Here is a 21,437-nt window from a genome sequence, read left to right on the forward strand (position 1 = left end):
TTCCCTGGCAAAAACTGCCTTCCAGATCCTCAACAGAAAGGCAAGATCAGCTGACCTTTTACCTCCTTTCTCTACTCCTCTATCCTGGTAGTGTTCATGGGCAAGAAAATGACCAGAGAAAGAGAAGAAAAGGAAAAACCCACAGCCTTAAATCATCTGCTTCCTTAATGAAGTTAGCTTTACAAGTGAGCAATAACAACTTTATCCTGAGAGGGAATTCTGTTTTCTCTGTTCAGACTGTTTTATTCAATCATTTGTAATTTTTAACAACACTTACATAGCATTATTGTGGTTTAGGATGCATTTCCATTTAATCATTCATTTAATCTCTCATTCAGCAAACATTTAGTATTTAAGTATGTGTGTCAGACTCATAGACCATCTTCTTTCTTCCAAATGCAACTCTAGCAAGAGAGTAAATATTGTTAGCATACCCATTTACCAGAAGAGGTTGGTGAGAAAATAAAGCCCAGAGGTTGACAACAAGGAGAATAGAAAAACCTCGGCTTTAGAGCCAAGTGGACTCAAGTTTGTTTCCATATATGTGTCTATAGGAATATTCTTGCATATGCAAAGAAAAATGTTTTGAGATGGTTTATAATAATGCATGCAATACAGTCATGGAAAAAATATAAATGGATTGAAAGAAACTTAATGAAGAGACAATAGGAATAGAATGGAAAGATGAGAACAGGCAGCAAATAAGAAAACAGGTATTGTGCTAGCTATGTTAACAAGATCTTTCATGATTACTAAAGTTGAGCCTCAAGTTTTTTATGAGCTTTGTTGCTGTTGGGGAGAAAATGGAAACACAGAAAAGATAATGATTGTGTTTTCCTTCCTTCCTTCCTTTCTCTCTCTTTCTCCCTTCCTTCTTTCCTTCTTTCCTTCCTTCCTTCCTTCCTTCCTTCCCACCCAGGCTGTAGTGCAGTGGCACAATGATAGCCCACTGCAGCCTGGGCTCCAGTGATCCTCCCACCTCAGCCTCCTGAGTAGCTGGGACTACAAGTGCTCACCACCATGCCCGGCTAATTTTTCATTTTAAAATTTTTTTGTAGAGATGGGGTCTTGCTATGTTGCCTAAGCTGGTCTCAGACTCCTCAGGCCAAGCAATCCTCCTACCTTGGCCTCCCAATGTGCCTTGTCTTTCAATGAATAAATTACAAGGGGTGGGGGGAGGGAGAAAAAAGTAGAACTTACCAGTTAAAAGATAATTAAGAGACATATCCCCCAAACCAACTGTAAAAGAATGACTTAGGAAGAAATTGGAGAACTAACGGTGACTTTTTCATATTAAGAAACTGCTATTTTAGGTGCGATAATGGCATTGTGTTAATGTCTTTAGAAGAGTCATTATCTTTAAGATACATATTGAGTTATTTACAGTTAAATTGAAAAAGGAAAACAACAATAACTATGAAATTCCTGTTGCCCTCACATTAGCTTTGTGACTTTGGGCCAGTTATGTCACTTTTTTCTCCTATAAGTGGAGGGAAATGCAATATATTGCTCAGAGGTTTTTATGGAGATTAAATGAGATACATATAGTCAATCTACATGATTTGTGTATTCCCTATTTGCAAATTCCCCTACTTGCTAACATTTATTTGTAATCTCAAAAGCAATGCTTGTGGAGCCTTTGTGGTCATTCTCAGACATGCACAGAGTGGGGAAAAACATTGAGTCACCTGGAATCCACGTTCAGCTGAGGTTGAACCAGGTATGCCTCTTGTTTCAGCTCTCATACTGTAAACAAGTGTCTTTTTCATGGTCTCTTTAGTGCCACATTTTTTGCATTTTGTGGGTTTTGTTGTAATTTCTTTGTTCATAATGCCTCCACAAACATAGTGCTGAAGTGCTATCTAGTGTTCCTAAGTGCAAGAAGGTTGTGACATGCCTTCTAGAGAAAATGTGTTAGATAAGCTATGTTCAGGCATGAAGCTGTAGTGCTGTTGGCCAAGAGTTCAATGTAATGAATCAACAATATATGTTGATTTCTGTCCTTAAACAGAAACATACATAAAACATGGTTATGTATTGACCAATTAACAACAATACTGTGACCAGAGGCTTGCAGGAACCTAACCCTGTATTTCCCTTAGGAGCAGTGGTTCAGTATTTGCTATTTCAGAGTTTACAGCGACTTTATAAAATTTAACTACTGTGAGTAACAATAATCAACTGTACAGAAATGGCTTAGGCTAACACCATCCTTAGAGCAAGCACTCAACAAATGTTTTTACCTCTTCCCTTCGGTGACAGAGACCAAACCCCAAACTGCCTTCTGCAGACTAATTTTCTGGACTCTTTGTTCTTGAGAAAGCTCCCCAGCCTGTGAATACATTGTAATGTGCGTAACACACTATTTGATCAAACAGACCTTCATCTGGACATATTTTCCATCTTTCAGCCAGTTTTTGTTTCTCTGGGGTAACCTTGGTTAACAGAAATTGCACTGGGCTTGGAATTAGAGAGCCTGGGTCAGGCTTCTGATCTTATGAGTTGTGTGATCCACAGTCATATCTCAAGCCACGAGAAGTTCTCAGCAATAAAATAAAATGTAATAAAACTCCAAGTTCTATGGTTAAAAACTAAAAGAGAGAGATGAATATAATCTGGAGAAGCTAAGGGAAGGCTTAAGGGGACAGACGAAAAACAAGTTTGAAGCTACCTTCCCTCCTGGCACCATTGAGTACTGCTTGTGCCCACCATCCCTGGAGAACTCCTAGGCAAGTTGCATATCCCACTATGATTTCCAAATCCAAGTTTATTTCTGGCCTTCTAAATGGGTATGCCAGGCCTACTCAACACCCCAGGATCAACATGTTTCCTGGAGTATCCGTTTTACTAGAATGTTCATTAAGGAAAACATATACTAAAATAAAATTTATTCAGCTATGGCTCAAAAAGTCTACATAGAAGGATGAAGTGCATGCTTTTGGTGTTCCACAGTGTCTCCTCTCAATTCACCTTGGGTTGTACCTGCAACAGGGAGGGCAGTGCAGTTCTCATGTAAACCAAGAGCCTCCCAGCCTGAGTGCCCATGGTCTCTCAGCTTTCTAGTCTCAAGCTCTTTCCCAAGGCCTCTAGAGCTTGCTCAAGCTGCCCAGAGGGCAAACCCAGAAGTGCAGGAGAGAATGACCCTGGGGAGAATTCACAGTAATGAGAGCTAAGTGCCTCACCTCCATGTCCTTCAGAGGAACAATTCTGAGAAGCAATGTACATGGTTCTTGAAAAGCTGAAGCCCCTATTGTCCACAACAGCAAGCAGCTCAGAGACACATACTTTATTGAATTTCTGTCTTTCTTGTCTCACTCTCCCGAATCTCTCACCTTCCAAAATGCTACCTGTACCCAAGTCCTTGTCTCAGGCTCTGCTTTTGGAATCAGAAGGAGCTATTTGGCTAGAAAAATGGACTTGAGCTGCATTTGCACAGCACTTTACATGAGATTAAAGAAATCCATGGTGAAACCCTGTCCCTACTAAAAATACAAAAATTAGCCAGGCATGGTGGCATGCACCTGTAATCCCAGCTATCGGGAGGCTGAGGCAGGAGAATCACTTGGATCTGGGAGGCAGAGGGTGCAGTGAGCCGAGATCATGCCACTGCACTCCAGCCGGGGGTACAGAGCAACACTCCGTCAAAAAAAACAAAAAAAGATTAAAGAAATCCAATTGTCTGTTTAAAGACACACCAAACTGCCCACAGATACATGACAAACTTGAAAGCACAATTCCCCTATATTAAGAATAAAAAGATATCAAGAAACTTCTCTCTTGGTGCTACGTTGGCCAATACGTCTAACCTCCAGTCTATTCTCTGTGATTAAGGTTCCTGAGTGAAAAAAAATCACTCTAATCTTTTTTTCTTTTTATTTCTTTTTCTTCTTTTTCTTTTTTTCTTTTCTTCTTTTTTTTTTTTTTTTTTTTTTGACAGGATTTCACTCTGTTACCCAGGCTGGAGTGCAGTGGTGCAATTACAGCTCACGGCAGCCTCAACCTCCTGGGCTCAAGTGATCCTCCCACCTCAGCCTCCTAAGTAGCTGGTACTACAGGTGTGCATCACCATGCCTGGCTAATTTTTTTTTTATGTGTGTAGGGATGGGGGTCAGGGGTCTCACTGTGTTGTCCAGGCTGATCTCAAACTCCTGGGCTCAAGTGATCCTCCAGCCTCAGCCTCCCAAAGTACTGGGATTACAAGTGTGAGCCACCACACCCAGCCCAGCTTAATCTTAATAATCAATATTATCCACCCACATAACCAATCAGGAGTTGACTATAACTGAATGCCAATGCCAAGTTCTACAAAACTCCATTTCAGCAGGTGGGGCTTGGAGAAGGTTTAAGTGTTTGTTCACTTTGATAACCTACTGGGACGCTCAAGGGGAACTGTATCATAAAAAGAGGCCACGCTACTTCTCAGGCAAAGGAAAACGGAAGTCTGATTCAGTAACCTGGATAATTGTGACTACATGAATCATATTAACATAAAATTAACTTTCTTTCAAAGGATCATTTGACCCTGCAAATCTGATTTTTAAAAATCTATATATGCAACAGTATGTTACTGCTTTATTCTGGAGGATTTCAGGAGCCATTGCTTTAAAAACCACCTTCACAATCAAGATTCTTCCTAACAATAAAAAAAAAAATGAATTGCCCTCAAAATTGGATAAATGTATGTATGTGGACCCTCCCTTACTGACCATTTGTCCTTGGGAAAGATGAGTTTATACCCAAAGTCTATATATTGTTGCTGCTATTTCAAACTGAAACTGAAGAAAAGAGGTAAATCAAAGGAAATTAATGGCTGATTTTTAACTTTCTTAAAAAAAGAATTGACAGATAAAATAATATGTATTTACCGTGTGCAACATGGTGCTCTGAAATATATATAAATTGTGGAATGACTAAATCTATCCAATTAACATATGCGCTACTTCATGTAGTTATCATTTGTGTGGTGAGAACATTACATCCACTCTCTTAGCATTTTTCAAGAACACAGTATATTACTCACTATAGTCGCCATGTTGTGCAATAGATTTCTTGACCTTATTTCTCCTATCTAACTAATTTTTAGCTTTCAGTCATGTGATAGAATTTCAATGTATACCTATTAACCTATTCTTCAGGATGCCCTGTGCCAGATTGATCTGATTTATCATTCTTCAATTCATCTTATAATCTACATTGCATAAGTTACAGTCTTCTCTAAATTTTATGAGACAGATATGAGCACTGATTTTGGCATGCAGATCTCCGTTGCTTCGGCCCTATTGAAGTTCAAGAAAAGCTGTACTGTTTGTACAAGATTTCCATCCTCATCCTCAATGGCTTGGATTTTGTTTTGTTTGGAGAGGGGTGACAAATAAACAAAAACCTCTATCAAAAGCAATGAGGAAATAACAGTTTACAATATATTCTCTTTTAAAAACTTAACATCATTACTTTTATTCCGTATATGGCCAGCAACGTATCCACCCCCGGATCTTCTGAATGTGGAGGTCTGGGTGATGAAATCACATTGACCTCCTTTTGCTGAGGTCAGGCAACAAACTATGGGCCAGTTTATGAGCATATCGTGTGTGCTCTGTGAGTTTGTTGTAAATTACTGCTAGATTGTTTTTGTCCCCTCCTTTTTTTAAAATAGAGTCTGGACCCAAACACTGCTATTTGATGACAAGAAAAAGCACAGCTGTACTATTGTTAATCATCCATCCGTTTCTTCCATCATGCCCTGATTTCATAAGGTGTCCAAATAATGACTCTTTTCCAACCTGGAGGATGGAATTGAAATGGTGACAGGGCAAGTTCTACTGAACCACACCTGTCCTATATTCTACTAGTTTAACTCCATCATCAGAAACTATGTGTCCTTGGTATCAACTACAACTGACTGGTCCAAGAAGAATTATATAAATAATTTTGGCTTTACTTTTTTTTAATGAAGGAGAAGAGATCGAAATATTGATACTTCTGCAGAAATGTGTCATTCATATTGAAAAACATCTGGACAGAATCACTTCTTTGGGAGTGAAAGCAGTTTGAAAACGGTAATGTTCTACATAAATGTATCTGCAATTTTGTTTCTGGAATTTTTCTCTGCCTGCTGGTGGTCATGCACTGAAGTTTCTTGCAAACCTACTTGATGTGAATTAGTCTGTAGTTTGTACCTTTCACATATCACCATCTGCTAAAGGCAGTACAGAGTTTTCCAGGCCAATCCACAGAGGGAGGACCGAGGATGGGCAGTCCTGGGGCACTGTGACAGATTGTGTGGCACAAATTTAACACAGAATTCAGTAAGAAGTATACTTGAATGTAACTCGTTTATTGATTCATTCATTGCCAAAACATTTACTCACTGTCTATTATGTGATCCATACTATGCAAGCCCTGGGAATTCAAAGTAACTAAGATAACTTACTCTGTAGGACTCATAGTCTAGTGAGGAAGGCAGGTAAACAGTTATAATCAAAGAGATAAGGGCTGATATAGGCTCTGCAAAAGGCTAGAAATATGGATAATAAATGATGAGGCAGTTGCATTTTATAGTTCCACGAGAAAATGAACTTGATTTTCATTGCTTCGAATCCACATGGTCTTCCTTGGAAACATCTTCTCAGTAATTAAGAGAATTCAATAAGAATTTCTACCTTTTTAGACTTTGGTGCCCCAGTGTAGGGAAGGAAAGGAAAATTATAGACTTTCTTTCCCTTTGTTGCTTGGTGGGCCATCACCATGGTCAGACTCAAGTCTACAGCAAAACTCACAGTTCTTATCTCTGCAGCTGCAAACAGGGCTCTGAATGCTCACACAGGGAAGCAAACAGATGATGGAAATCTCTTTCTAACAGAAATGCAACGAAGATAGACTTTCTATTACTTTAGAATTATTCTACTTTCTTGGCAAGTTCTAAGAAGGATGGACTACTGTCTCCTTGAGAGGTCTCATTATGTAGAAAGGCAGCATCTGAGAAAGAATAGAAGGAAGGGAATGAAGGACAGAAAGATGAAGAAAGGAAAGAAGGAAGGAAATGAGAAAGGAAGGGAAAAGGAAGAAAAGAAAGAAGGAATGCAAGATAGCTATAATATTTGAAATAAGAGAAATTTTATTTTCTGCTGCAAAAAAATCCTGCAAGTCACACCACATCTATTAACATAGGAAGTAAAGAAATGTTATGGGGGCATAGGGGGAAAGTTAGCCCACAGTCCTTCCATAAATCTATTTTATCGCTTTATAGTCACCTATTATTAAACATAGTGGGTCAATTCTCACTTTGCTTCCCTGTCTACCCATTAGCAAAAGCTGTGTGTTAATTTTTCTGTGACAAGTTCTGGTGTGTGAAGCCTGGTAACCTCACTGGAAAATAACTGGATTTTTGGAAGCAAAGGCCTAATGACCACTACTTATGAGTTCACATTTTTGAGAGCTCAGTCCATATGACATGAAAGGAGTCATACACAATCACATGAACTCTTGGTGAGGATTAAAGAGGTGCAAAGACTGTCTCTTGAAAGCCTTTTTAGAAGGGAGAACAGCCTACTGGGCCTTGGGCCCAGACTGTGAGTACACTTCCCTTCCTAGACATTCTCTTAAGTCATAGTATTTCTTTATTGTAATCAAGTAAAATAAGAAAAGAACATTAACATTTTCTAAGAAGGGAGACACTAACTCTATTAAAATAAGAGAGAGGTCTCCTTTCTTTACTTAATATTTATTGAATGTTTCTAAACATATGCAATTTGCTACAACTCTCTCATGTTTGTGACGGTGATGAATTAATACAGTTGTTAAGCACATCAAATAAGATTTTTCTCCTGGAGGGAAATCACAGAAGAGGAGAATGGTTGGTGAACTATTTTGGAAGCTTACACTGAATTAAAGTCATTCATTATTGCTGTGCAGAGTTAAGTAATAAAACTAACAGTTTCTTAGTATTTTCCTTAAATTGTTATTTTATTTTGGAATGTAATCTCTAATTTGGATAATAATAGTATTCAGTCATTCTTTCAATAGATATTTCTTGAAGACTCATTATGTGTGAGGCACTATTCTAGGCTCTGGGAAGAAAAAACAAAGTTCCTGCCCTCCTATATGTGTACATTTCAGCAGGGGAAGACAGACAGTCAATGTATAAACAGGAAAATAATTATGCAAGATCATTTTAAATATGTATTAGTGCTAAGAAGATAATAAGATACAGTAATGGGATAGAGAATGATTGAGGCAGTGGGGAGTGGGGATCGCTTCAGCATGGTCAAAGAGGACCTCACTGAGCTGAGACAGGAATGATAAAAAGGAGGGAGATGTGTAAAGAACTAGGGGAGAAGTATTCTACACAGAGGAAATAAGTACAAAGGACTTGGGGCAGTTTACCCTTGAGTATTAGAGTATGTTTCGTACATCTTTTCATAACTTAAAGCACTTCCATGTATATTGTTTCTTTTGATCCTCACAGCAATCCTGGAATCAGGGCACTACGGGTAACCACATTCTCACTTTACAAATGATAACTCACACACCCCATGGAAGATCCGGGAAGTCTTCTGATGCCCCTGCTTTCCAAGACAATATGATGCTTCTCTACATTCCATGGACTATGACAAGTATATCAGTCGTCGAAGTGGGTGGTTTAATGGCATGATTAGCTCCATTTTCTCTTCCTGCAGCATAGCAAAGTGCATAAAGCTTGAGCTCTGTGTCCAGCAGATCTTTATTAGAATTCCAGTCCCCCCACAGTTACATATGCTCTCTCCCTGACAGTTTTCACAGATGAATCATCCAGACTCCATTTCCTATTAGAGCTGGACCCTCCACTTGGACTTTTGACACTTAGACCCCTCTAGCCCACACAGGGACATCAGTGCAATAATTCTCCCCTTTCTACAGCATCATTAAATTTTGCCTCTCTCCTGGATCATCCCATTCACATATTCATATGCTGTTATTTCTCCCATCTAAAACTGACCAGGCACTGTGGCTCATGTCTATAATCCTAGCACTTTGGGAGGCCAAGGCTGGCAGATCACTTGAGGCTAGGAGTTTGAGACCAGCCTGGCCAACATGACAAAACCCCATCTCTACTAAAAATACAAAAATTAGCAGGGTGTGCTGCACTCCAGCTTGGGCGACAGAGCAAGACACTGTCTCAAAATAAATAAATAATTAATTAAAAATAAAATTACTTTCTCCTGATCCCATATTTCCTATGATTAAAATGCCATTTCTTTCTTCTTCTCTCTATGAGTTCTTCCCAGAAGAGTTGTCTATACCTATTGCACCAACCCATTTCTTCCAATTCTCCATATTGTCGGTATTTCCAGTTATCCTTACCTCTCTCCCACACAGCCCCTATCTAATCTGGCAGAAAATCCTGTTGACTCTACCTTCAAAATATAGCCAGAGTTCAATACTTCTTACCATCTCCGTGTCTACCACCCTGGTCCAAGCTACCATCATCTCTCATCTGGATAACTCAATTACCAACTAACAGGCCTGTCTGCTGGTACAGTCTGTGCTCAAAACAGCAGCCGGAAGGATTCTTTTCCAAAGTAAGCCAGGTTGCAGCCCTCATCTTGCTGAGAGTTTAATCAAAGTCCTTAGCAGTGTCCTGTGAAGCCCACATATCCTGACCCCTCAGACTCCTTTGACCTATTTTCTACTTCCCTCCCCCTCGCTCACTCGGCTCTAGCTACATGGCTTTTATCCTGTGACCCCTTTGCTGGAATGCAAGCTTCACAAGGCAGGGATCTTTGTCTGTCTGGTTCACTCATGTATCCCAAGTACAGTTAGTCCTCCGTATCCATGGTTCCACATCCGTGGAGATGGAACGGTGGACTGAAAATATTTGGAAAAAAAAAATGCATCTGAGAAGGAGGGCAAGGGTTGAATAACTACCTATTGGGTACCATGTTTACTATTTGAGCAATGGGCTCATTAGAAGCCCAAATCTCAGCATCACAGAATATACCCATATAACAAACCTGCACATGTACCATCTGAATTTAAATTAAAAATAAAATTTAAAAATAAAAAATTTATATTGCATCTGTACTGAATATATACAGACTTTTCTTGTCCTTACTCCCTTAACAATACGTTATAACCATTATTTACAAAGCATTGCATTCGGTTAGGTATTATAAGTAATAGAGCAATGATGTAAAGTAAACGAGAGGATGTATGTAAGTTATGTGCAAATACTACCACATTTTATGTCAGGGACTTGAACATCTTTGAATGTTGGTATCCAAAGGAGGTTCTGGAACTAATCAACAGATACCAAGCGTATTAGTCCGTTTTCATGCCGCTGATAAAGACACACCCAAGACTGGGTGATTTATAAAGAAAAAGAGGTTTAACTGACTCACAGTTCCACATGGCTGGGGAGGCCTCACAATCATGGCAGAAGACGAAAGGCACGTCTTACATGGTGGCAGGTAAGAGAGAGAATGAGACCCAAGGGAATGGGGAAAAACCCCTTATAAAAACATCAGATCTCATGAGACTGATTCACTATCATGAGAACAGTATGGGGCAAACCAGCTCCATGATTCAATTATCTCCCACTGGGTCCCTCCCACAACACGTGGGAATTATGGGGGCTACAATTCAACATGAGATTTGGGTGAGGACACAGCCAAACCATATCACCGAGGGACAAGTGTACCTGGAACATGCATGGCGCATAGCAGGCATTCAATATGTATTTGTTGAATGAATAGTCTGTGCATATTTAACATAAAGTTAACACAGATTTGCATGCTTTTCACTTAATCTAATTAGTGTGTAAAATTTTCTACCAGATCACATCACAATCTTAATTACGAAAAAGTTTTCCCTTAAATAAAGATACGAAGTGTAAAACTCCCTTTCACGACGTATTGCATAGACTTAGCCATTTATTAACATCTCTCCCCTACGGAAAAGGCAACTCCACTGGCTGCTATCTTAGTTTAAGGATCCAGTCTCCATGTTGAGGAAATATTGCTTGCTTATCGTTCAGATTATTGGTTCACTACAATTTAAGGGCCTAGAAATAGTTAGGAAATAACCTTAAAATAAGCAATTTACTCCTTCCCAAACAGAATCAAATCTGTTATTGAGTTTCTTTTTGGATCAATGAAAGCTGTCATGAGATTATACACTAGTTTTTAACTCCTTCATATAAAATAGAAAATGGTTACTTATGAAATAAACACAAACATTTCTTTTTAAAATGCTTTGTGACTTAATCATTGGACCAGAATTTTCTCTGGATCGATCAAGAATTTTTCTTTACATATCAGAGTTGATGACAGAAATAAGGCTGATTGTATAGAGCTTCAATAGAGGAAAAAATAATTCTCCTTAGAAAAATGAAAAAAATGAGAAAGTAAAACGTTTAAAACAATAAATTACATCTCTGAGTTGGACCTGAAAGGTTACTGTACTGAAGTCTTGTAATTACTTTTTTCAGTTCTACAATCAAAACCTATTAGGGCAATTTTATGTGGTTTTTCTTTTTTCTTCCTTTTTTTTTTTGTTTTGCCTAACATTCTTGAACTGAGTTCAAGTATTAAGTATTTCGCCATATGTCCTGTCAGTCACATATCTAAGACAGAATAAAATAAATGTATTCTCAGACTGTGTTTCACACTCTTCCAAAGTTTTTTTTTTTTTTTTCCCATGGAACTCACAGAGCTTTTAAATCTGGTTATTAGCCCTGATACTTTCTCCCTTTTCATCTTCCAAACCCTAGGCACAATCCCGCTGACCTCTTCTGCAGCTATTTGATTCCCAACACAATATTCAAACACAACTAGGGGCAGCCTTCCTTAATCAGGTCTGTCCCTGCAGAGTTTGGTTTGCTTTGTTTTAACAAGCAGGAGTCTTGATTTTCTACAAAGCTCTGCAAAGGTTGTTACAATCGGCGATTGAAGGAAACCGAAAACTGATTGCCAAAGAACTAATTGACCTATTTTTTGAGTCTTCATTAATTTCATTTTAGCTCAGTCATACGAACATTTAGTCAACATCTGTCTACCTTGCAGGCCTGGTGCCAAGCATTAGACAAATAAGACATGGCCCTGTTTATCGTAGAATAAATGCTACGGCGGAAACAGGTACAGAGTACTCTATAATACCAATGGGGTGTCGCACTGTTAGGCAGGCAGTGTTTTATTTCTATAGATTTTCAGGGTTTCTGTTCTGTTTTCAGTGTCTCTTTTCCTAGGAGTCAGAGAAAACTTTCTAGACAAAATCATGCCTGGGCCAAAATTTCAAAGTAAGTGTAAACTTGGCAAAACTAACTGGAAAGGGCATTCACAAATTCCATTGATTCATTTTTACCAATTTTATTTTTCTAAAAAAATGAAGAGGAGGAAGGTTGAGACCTAGTATCTAAAAGGAGACTGGATTATCTCTAAGTCTTAGTATATCTTGGTTTGTTTACCTTTGCTGAGCTCACTCGGGGTAAGCTGCAGTCCTATATTGAAAATGCTTGATTTATTTTGCTTGCTGTGGTGTAAACATCTTCATTAAAAAAATAGTTGCCCTGGTCTGAATTTTGAAAGTAAAATTAATATATTCTGGATTAAGTGTGAGTGAAATCGCATTTTAACTCAGTTAAAAGACATTCTTTTTAATAATCAGGTTTAAAATTTTGAATGACTATACATAAGATTTTTAAAAGAAGTATTCAGTTTGAATTTTGCTTGCTAATATCAGAAGAAACCCTACTTCTATGGAAAAGAGAACTGTATTCCATTTTCCTTAATCCTTTGTTAGTTTGTCTTCCTTAATGTACCCACTGTGGTTGTTTCTATAACATATGGGATTTTATACATTAAAGCAAAGCTGTGTTTGTAAAAAAGGAAAGAAAGAAAAGAAAAAAGAAAACTGCTGATTTTAAATTCCAGTTTTTATTCTATGTATACTATACTTGGTTATAAAAAAGTTACAGATCATTCAGTTTTGCCCAGATTTTACCCTACAGAAGTCCCTTTATTAAGAAATGAGATTTAATGAAAAGAAAAGTAGGGCTACTGTTTATGTGGCTGCAAATATCACTGGGGAAATATTTCATGTTTACATTTTGCTAAACTATTTATAGTGAGGACACATACTACAGTAAGGCCCTCTTTTCCCCATATAATGGATATCTTTGTGCCTTAATTCTACACACTTGCACAGTTTACATTTTTACCCAGTCTGCCCACATTTCATGCCACATTACTTTGTCCTCCAAAGCCTAGCTATATTGGAGCAACATCTTCTGGCAGAACAGAGACACTGAAAATCCAGAGAAATAAAACCCTGCCTGCCTAACAGTGTCTTAGATCGTTAGCAGGGAACACAGACCAAATTTAGCTATTTAACAAATCTCTCATTGATGATTATTGGGGTTTTTTCTTACCCTCACTATTGATCTTTGAAAGCTCTCAATTTTAAGCAACTGAGTTTCTTTCCCTGAATTAATGGTTAACACCTATTGCTGTGTTTTATCTATATTTTAACTATTTAGCATGGTGTATGAGTACACCATGTATGAATCTTCTAAAACAGTTCTTGCCTGAAGTATAGAATCAATGAGTGAACTTTGGAGTCCCTCTGGTGGTCATTTGAGTCAGTTTTAAATGAAACTGATCTCTTATAAGCCCTTAGATACCAGCCTCATCCATTGGCCATCTTATCTCTGCACCCCTACCCCCTCCCACCCTACTTCACTTTTACCACTCATCACACATAATTCCTCACGCTGCTCCTATGAAGCGCACAAATACAACGTAAATAATTTCTATAAATTTCTAATATTTGCTTGTGGAAACATTTTGCCCACAACATTGGATTTACAATAAAATGCTCTCCTGTTTTATGACGCTGCTGAAAATTAAAACTGTTGCCAGTTCCCTGATTCTTCAATAGGAAATCACAGCTTTGGTTTCTCCTTTCCTTAAGTAGATTTTACAAATTAATTGTAATTTTTAAAGCATATCTTTCTTCATGTGTGTGTGGCCCTTAATGACTTGTATTTCTTTTTAGTCACATGATTTAGTCTCTTTGAACATTAATTTCACTAAATTAAGAGCCCAAGTAGAAAACAGTTGTGCTCAGAATAAACAGTGATTTGGGGTAGTCACTGTGCAAATATATTGTCTTTCCCGTGATTCCTTCTTTTTACCTGTAGAGGAGCGATGTCTTCCTGGACTGGCCCTTGAGTGGTGGAGGAGGCTTTCAGGAAAAGTCTTGAACTGTGCTTAGAAGAGATTAAGAAGTCACTTACCTAGACGGAAGTGAGATGTCTTCTTGACATTATGTTTCGTCCCCTTGATAGTCCTGTCATTATCTATATTTCTAGTCTGTGGTCTTAGAATTTCAGAGCATTAAATGTTCAGTTCCCATGAGTTTGTGGTTTTTCTGAGTGGGTATGTATTTGCGTGCCTTCACTTTCAGTTGAAAGATATTCATCCTTCAGGGCTGTGTTTGCTTTTATTCAGAAAATAAGTATATTTAATGTACTGTTTTTGAAAAAGGAATGAAAACAGTGATTGAGCTGATATTGAGATCATCAAGTGTTTCTAAATCTCTCCAAACACATTGCTCCCTACATGCCCAGAAGGCACCATCTTTTCCTCTTAATATAATGGGTTTGCTTGAGTATCAAAATGCTGCATTATACAACACGAATCATCACACTGAAGATATCAATCACTTGTTTTATTAAATTAGAGTAAGAGAATTTAGTACAGAACAGAGGCAAAAAAAAAAAATTATTGCTGGGCATGGTGGCTCACACCTGTAATCACAGAGCTTTTGGAGGCTGAGGCAGGAGGATCTCTTGAGGCCAGGTGTTCATCACAGGCCCAGGCAATATAGTGAAACCCTGTCTCTACAAAAAAAAAAAAAAAAAAAATTAAATTAACCCATTATGTTGGTATACACCTCAGCTACTCAGGAGGCTGAGGCTGGAAGATGACTTGAGCCCAGGAGTTTGGGGTTTCAGTGAGCTATGATTGATTGCACCTCTGTACTCCAGCCTGGGTGACAGAGCAAGACCCTGTCTCTAAATAATCATCATAATACCACAGCACAGATCATGCTTTTAAGAGTTATAACAACCAAATATAAAAATCTACATATACACATGTTTTATACTATTCAAAAAATAGTCAAATAGATATAACCTTGTCCACTAGGAACAAAACACAAAGTTGCATTTGTTGAAAGTCGACATTAATTAAAGAAAACATATAATGAATAATTTGCAAGAAAAAAAGAATGTCATCTTTTGCTGCTTAAGTGTTGCACCGCACAACAGATGAAAAAACAAACAACAGCAGCATTACTTCTATTGCAGACATTTTTTTCCCTGTAGTTTCTGACCTCCAATTCACTTTCATACTCTGTGCTGCTTCGGGGCATTCAGTGTTTTGAAGGAGAGTTGATGTTTATATTTTAACATTTTTAAGAGAGGTAAATGATTCAATGTAGCAAAGAGAAAATAGGTTTCATTGTTCTTTGGGTTTTAAATAAGTAGTTACTGTTAAGTTATAGCAAGCAAATCTCCAACATCTTGCATTCATCACTATTCTGATGCAGTTTTTCAGAATCTGTAACAATGTGATTTATAGACTCATGAATAAATGTTTCAACTGTTGTCATATGGTCTTAATTATGTTAAATTAGAGGATCTGGCTGACAACACTAGAAACATGGATGCCTAGCACCATCTATTGTTCATGAACAAAACAACTGTATGGTAAATAAAGGGGAAAGTCCTTCCCCAGGTAGGACTTTCAGAGAGGGTTTGCATTAGTTTTCTACTGCTGCTGTAACGAAGTATCACGAACTTAAACAATGCAAATGTATTATCTTTGGGTTCTCAATATTGCTTATAGGTTAGAAGTCTGCAATGGGTCTCACTGCGCTAAAATTAAGGTGTCAGCAGGGCACTTAGGGGAGAATCTGTTTCCTTGCCATTTTTAGTCTACGGAAGACACAGCTTTGAGAGGCCACCAATATTCCTTGGCTTATAGCCATCTTCCTTCATCTTCAAAGCCAGCCATATTGCATCTCTTGAACCATTCATCCATAGTCACATTGCCCACTGATTCTAACCTCAGCTGGGAATGTTTCTCTGCTCTTAAGGAGAAGATTCAGGTGATTAGGTTGAGTCCATCCATACAACCTATCCAGGTTAATCTCCTCATCTCAAGGTCCTTAATCTTAATGATATCTGCAAAGTTCCTTTGTCCACATCATGTGACATATTCACAGGTTCCAGAAATTAAGACACAGACATCTTTTGGGAGGCCATTATTCTGCCTACCACAGGATACGAGAGAGCACTAATTAAAAACCATATCTAAATATACAAAATTTAATCTCTTGACTTTTGGTGGAGTCAGTATGTTGGCTGTGGTAGATTATCATTATGTTGGAGACAGAGAAGATTTGCTATTTTAGTGCTTATGAACTTATACTACAATTTGTTAATTTTCTCTCACTAATACATATTAGGTAAGTATTCTTAAAATGACCATTTCTTAAGAATCTCCCTACTAAATTCAATATTCTTTAGGTGATGAGTCAGTCCTTATTTCTTCCAACACTCAACCTCTGCCCCTCGCCCTGCCCCACCCTTCAACCTGGTCAGCAGTGTGCATGTTCACACACACACACACACGTGCCCATACACACATCTATACATATTCATGCATTCAATAAATGTTATTATTTTCTAACCTTTAATGTCTGTTTTACTGAAGGGTTCAGCTTTGAATGTCTTTGGGAACATATAGATAACTTTCTCACCTTCCTTTCAACACTGAAATACTCTGTGATTATTCCTATTTTTTTTCTACAGTCATGCCATTTGTATGTCAGTGATAGATAATTTTGAGGCTAAGTCCTCATCTCAGCATCCAGTTTTATTGCATTTGTAACAGTAACACAGATACATGAGCTGCTGGGCTCTCAGGATGCCATTAGCGCTTCATGATTAATCTAGAAGAGGAAAAGGACAGTTGTTAAAGAAATACCCAACAACTTGCTCCATGTTAAAATCATTTCCTCTCCTGACCAGGAGATGCTTGTGACAACTAAAAATAGAGGCAGCTCTTGGTTGACAACATTGCTCTTAGTCTTCAATTATCTGTAACCTATGCCCATCACCTTAAATTTTCTGGAGGAGAAGAAATCTGTAGAGAATAGTTTGTCACTTTGTGATGTGTTTGATGTTTCTCACTGAGGAATGAGAAGAGAGGACATTTTGGAAAATAGAAGCCTGTTTTTATAATTTTTCAAATTTGGTAACAAAATAAAGGTACTGAGTTTTTGAAAGGACTTGAAGATGAATATCAGCTCTTCCTGGTCTATCCAAACTTCCCTCTCAAAATCAAAACAAAAATGTATACAAATATAATGTATAAGTCACGTTCACAACCACATAACTTGATAGCAACACTATCCCTGTATCATAGATATTATTTTGCAGTTGAAGAAACTAATGTTCATATCTAATTGACTAGGATTCTGCAAGAACATGCTTGTCGATAAGGATATGTGGAAGTAGTCACTATTACATAATGTTGGTGGCAGAAAAAAATTAATCCAAGTTTTCAGAAGGGCAGTATTAAAATGCTAACATATGTCTTAAAGCAAGTCTTGGACCCAAATTTTTCGCTTTAAATAAGTAAAAGTTTAATGATGTGAACAAAGATTGAAATAAAGTGGTGTTCCATGGAATACTACACAGCCATAAAAAGAAATGAGATAATGTCCTTTGCAGGAACTATGGATGAAGCTGGAAGCCATCATCCTCAGCAAACTAACACAGGAACAGAAAGCCAAACACTGCATGTTATCATTCATAAGTGGGAGCTGAACATAGAGAACACATGGACACAGAGAGGGGAACATCACACGCCAAGGCCTGTTGGGGGGTGGGGGTGGTGAGGGGAGGGAACCTAGAGGACTGGTCAATAGGTGCAGCAAACCACCATGGCACACGTATACCTGTGTAACAAACCTGCACGTTCTGCACATGTATTCCAGAATTTAAATTAAAAAAAGAAATAAATTTTAAAAATGGTGTTCATCTCAGCATTGTTTATAATAGCAAAAAATAACCTACGACAGAAACTGCTGATATTCAGCAAAGTCTGTTTCCCCTCCCTCATGGACACACCACTGGGCTACATTTCCCCTGTTAGAGATGATCATGGGGCTGTATTCTGGGTGACAGAATGTGGGCAGAAGTGATGATACAACTTCAAGTACTAGTCCCTAAATATCTCCTGAGTGATCCTCTATGCTCTCTTCAAGTTGGTGAAATACAGAGAATACAGTAAAGAAACCTAGAGCTCTAGATGATGACAAAACTAGATCAAAGGACCCTGGGTCCTTCCCTGGAATGACCAGGTGGAAGATAATCTCTGACGAGGAACATACACATTATGCTTTGTGTGAACAAGAAAGAAACTTACACTGGTTTAAAACACTGAGATTGTAGTCTTTACCAAGTACAGCAAGTAAAGTAAACCCTAATACAAAATTTAAATGTCCAATGATAGAGAAATTACCCAAATAAACTTAAGTGAATTTCTTGCAACATAGACTTCCTTTGAATGAGTTATTGATCACAATCTGGGCAACAGCCAAACTACCATAGAGATAAAAGCACGTATTTCCATTCTGCTTTATTATCATCAATTTTAATTCCAGGCTATTAAATAAATGCACTACTACTTATTCTCTGCAACCTTTGTGCGGCTGAGTTGGAAGTCATTCTGCCTCGTATCTCTGTTTTTGACACTATAGGAAGAGGTAGGAAACAAGGAGAAAAAAAAATTTACCTGTAATTAAATCCTTTAAAGATAAAATGACACATTCTGATTGGTGATTTGCCATGGGATCATAGAATTGAAGATTTAAGGTGAATGAAGGGCTGGTTGAGCCAATCACCAAAATGGCTTGAATTCCAGCCACACCATTCAATCAAAGAGTCATCCATTCTTTCCTTGAACACCTTCAATTATGCATACTTGATGAAAGAATAAAAAGCAGCTTAGGGTTTTTGTGTCTCTCTGCTCGTTTGTTTTGCAGAGCTAGTAACAAAGATAAAAGGAGGAAAGCAGGTAAGCAGACAAGCTAACATTTACCAAATGTCATTTGGCTAGGACCTGTGTATAGCACATCTGTACATATTATTTCATTTAATTTTTGCAACAATGCTATAGGGTTGATGTGCCCATTTTTCAGAAGACCTGAACCTTAGAGAGTTGAAATAATTCATGTATCTGCCAAGTTGTTATATCTTCCATCTTCTAAAGTGATAAAGGCAGTGTTTACTCTACAAGAGCATGGCAGATCCTTGAAAGAAGGCAATAGGAAAAGACAGAGAGGATTAAAAGCATTTGGCTAATGATTGGTGAGCTGACATTTGCAGTTCATTTCACTGGAAGACTGGGGAAAATAGCATTATAGTAGGACTTGGCTTCTAAAATTAAACTGCTGAGGTTTATATCCAACTGCCTCTATTCCCTAACATATATCCTTTGAAAGTTTCCTAACCTCTCTAGACCTCGGCTTCCTTATCTGTCAATGGGATAATAAATGATAGCTATTTTATACAGTCATATCAAAGATGGTTTGCGATGATGCACATGAACTATTTCGCACACGGCTTTGCAGAGAGCTGGTGAAAGCCATAAGGTTTTGTGTACAAAGAAGTGTGGCAATGGTTGCCCCTAGTTGAGAAGTTAAAACTTCAGGGTGCTTGTAATTTTCTCAGATATATATTAGCAGATATGAAAGTGATATAAATACACAATAAAGTATAGTTTTTAAAATAGTATGTGTTTTATTTCATGTTCATATCACTTTCACCAGGCAAAAATTCTGAAACTTTCTGTGTGAACATAATATTATGGGTACACTCTGCATTATACCTCTAGGCGTCATCAGAAATTTGTGCTTAATATTGTCCACTCACATTCCCTGAACAACGCTCCCTACTAAGTTCCCTAGACTAACAACATGAAGTCTTAGGGGTATAGTCTATAATCATTACAACACAGGAAGAAAATACCTGGTATTCCATTAAGCGGCAGAAACATCACTTTAGCATAGTGATTGCAGCTTCCAAATACACCTGACTCAGATTTTGAATATTATAGTAAGCAAATTAAGTACTCCTTTTCCCCAAAACATGTTAATATATAAAAGGGCATATATAAACAAGGTCATATAGATATGTAAAAATCTATTCAATGAAAAACTAAGTTTTTTTTTAATACAAATGTTAGCTGGGTATGATGGTGGTGGTGGGTGCCTGTAGTCTCAGCTACTTGAGGAGACTGAGGTGGGAGGATCGCTTGAGCTCAGGAGGCAGAGGTTGCGGTGAGCCCTGATCGTGCCACTGCACTCCAGCTTGGGTGACAGAACCAGACCTTGTCTCAAAAAAAAAGAAAAAGAAAGAAAAACTAAGGTTTTTTTTTCAGTGTTTCCATTTTGTAATTATATACATGCAATGATTTCAGTGCTGAGAAAAAAATTAAAAAATGGTACACTGGGGGTATTTCCAGCTCAATTCCAGTTGTCTATGACAATCAAGAAGAGACAGGATGCAATAAATATTTTCACAATGAAAAGAAGTATCCTGGCGGACTGGGAAAGAAAAGCATTAGGAACTTTGTGATGCTGCTGAGGTATTAGACAAGACAATACATAGAGTTGATCTCTACATATTTCTCTAATCTTTCAGATTAGAGAATGGTAGTGGTTAAAAAAAGGAATGGAACACTTTTATCAAATAATATCTAGTGGAACCCCAATGTATAAATAAGCTGAAAGTGGAGCTATTCTGCTTGAGGTAAGGTATGTCAGATCTCCTCTAATAAACCTCCTTTCTGCTGACATCTGAGCCTCTTCAGAACACAGTTTGGAGATCAGTGCCTACTTGAATACAAAATAACCAACAGGAGATGTGTGATAAAAATGTAGATGCCTGGGTTCCAACCCCAAATATTTCAGTTCAGTAGCTCTGATGTGGGGTATGGAGATGTTTATTACTGAAATGCCCTCCTAGAGATCGGGATGTACAATGAGGTTTGGGGAGTGCTCATAAGACAACCTAGTACAACCTGTTAAGCTAAGGCAGTTGAATAAATCCTACAGATAATGTGCCTCTCCGGGTATTTAACAAGGCACAGCCATGTTACAGGTTGATGTGGGTAACAAAAAAGATGGATTTATTGTTCTAGCCTTAACAGAGTAATGGAGGCAGTGGAAAACATTCAAGTTATACAATGAAAAGATGACCGAAGCTTAGCCTGAGAATTTGGCGCTAAAAAAAATATATATATATATATACAAGTGTACCTGAAGACAGCAGGCTGGCATCAGCTCTCCACTGCACAGCCGTCACTACAAAAAAATGCCTAAAAGAG

At 38.0% G+C, this 21,437-nt stretch overlaps 1 protein-coding gene across 2 annotated transcripts in view; it reads left to right on the top strand.

The window, feature by feature from the left end:
- Nucleotides 1-10,046, top strand: part of LOC124902897 (uncharacterized) — a 71,084-nt gene extending 61,038 nt beyond the window's left edge. The window contains exons 3-5 of one of the 2 annotated variants that reach the window (XR_007063242.1): nt 1,623-1,720; nt 5,954-6,056; nt 8,465-10,046. Coding sequence is in view for 1 of the 2 variants with exons in the window: in XM_047429950.1 (XP_047285906.1) it covers nt 1,623-1,720; nt 8,465-8,650 (284 nt within the window). In the remaining variant the exon portion in view is untranslated. The remainder of the gene's footprint in view (nt 1-1,622; nt 1,721-5,953; nt 6,057-8,464) is intronic. The other variant, XM_047429950.1, reaches the window with a different exon arrangement.
- The last annotated feature ends 11,391 nt before the right edge of the window (nt 10,047-21,437 follow it).

The sequence above is a fragment of the Homo sapiens genome, chromosome 12 (assembly GCF_000001405.40).
Source record: "Homo sapiens chromosome 12, GRCh38.p14 Primary Assembly".
In the NCBI taxonomy this organism is placed as follows: domain Eukaryota; kingdom Metazoa; phylum Chordata; class Mammalia; order Primates; family Hominidae; genus Homo; species Homo sapiens.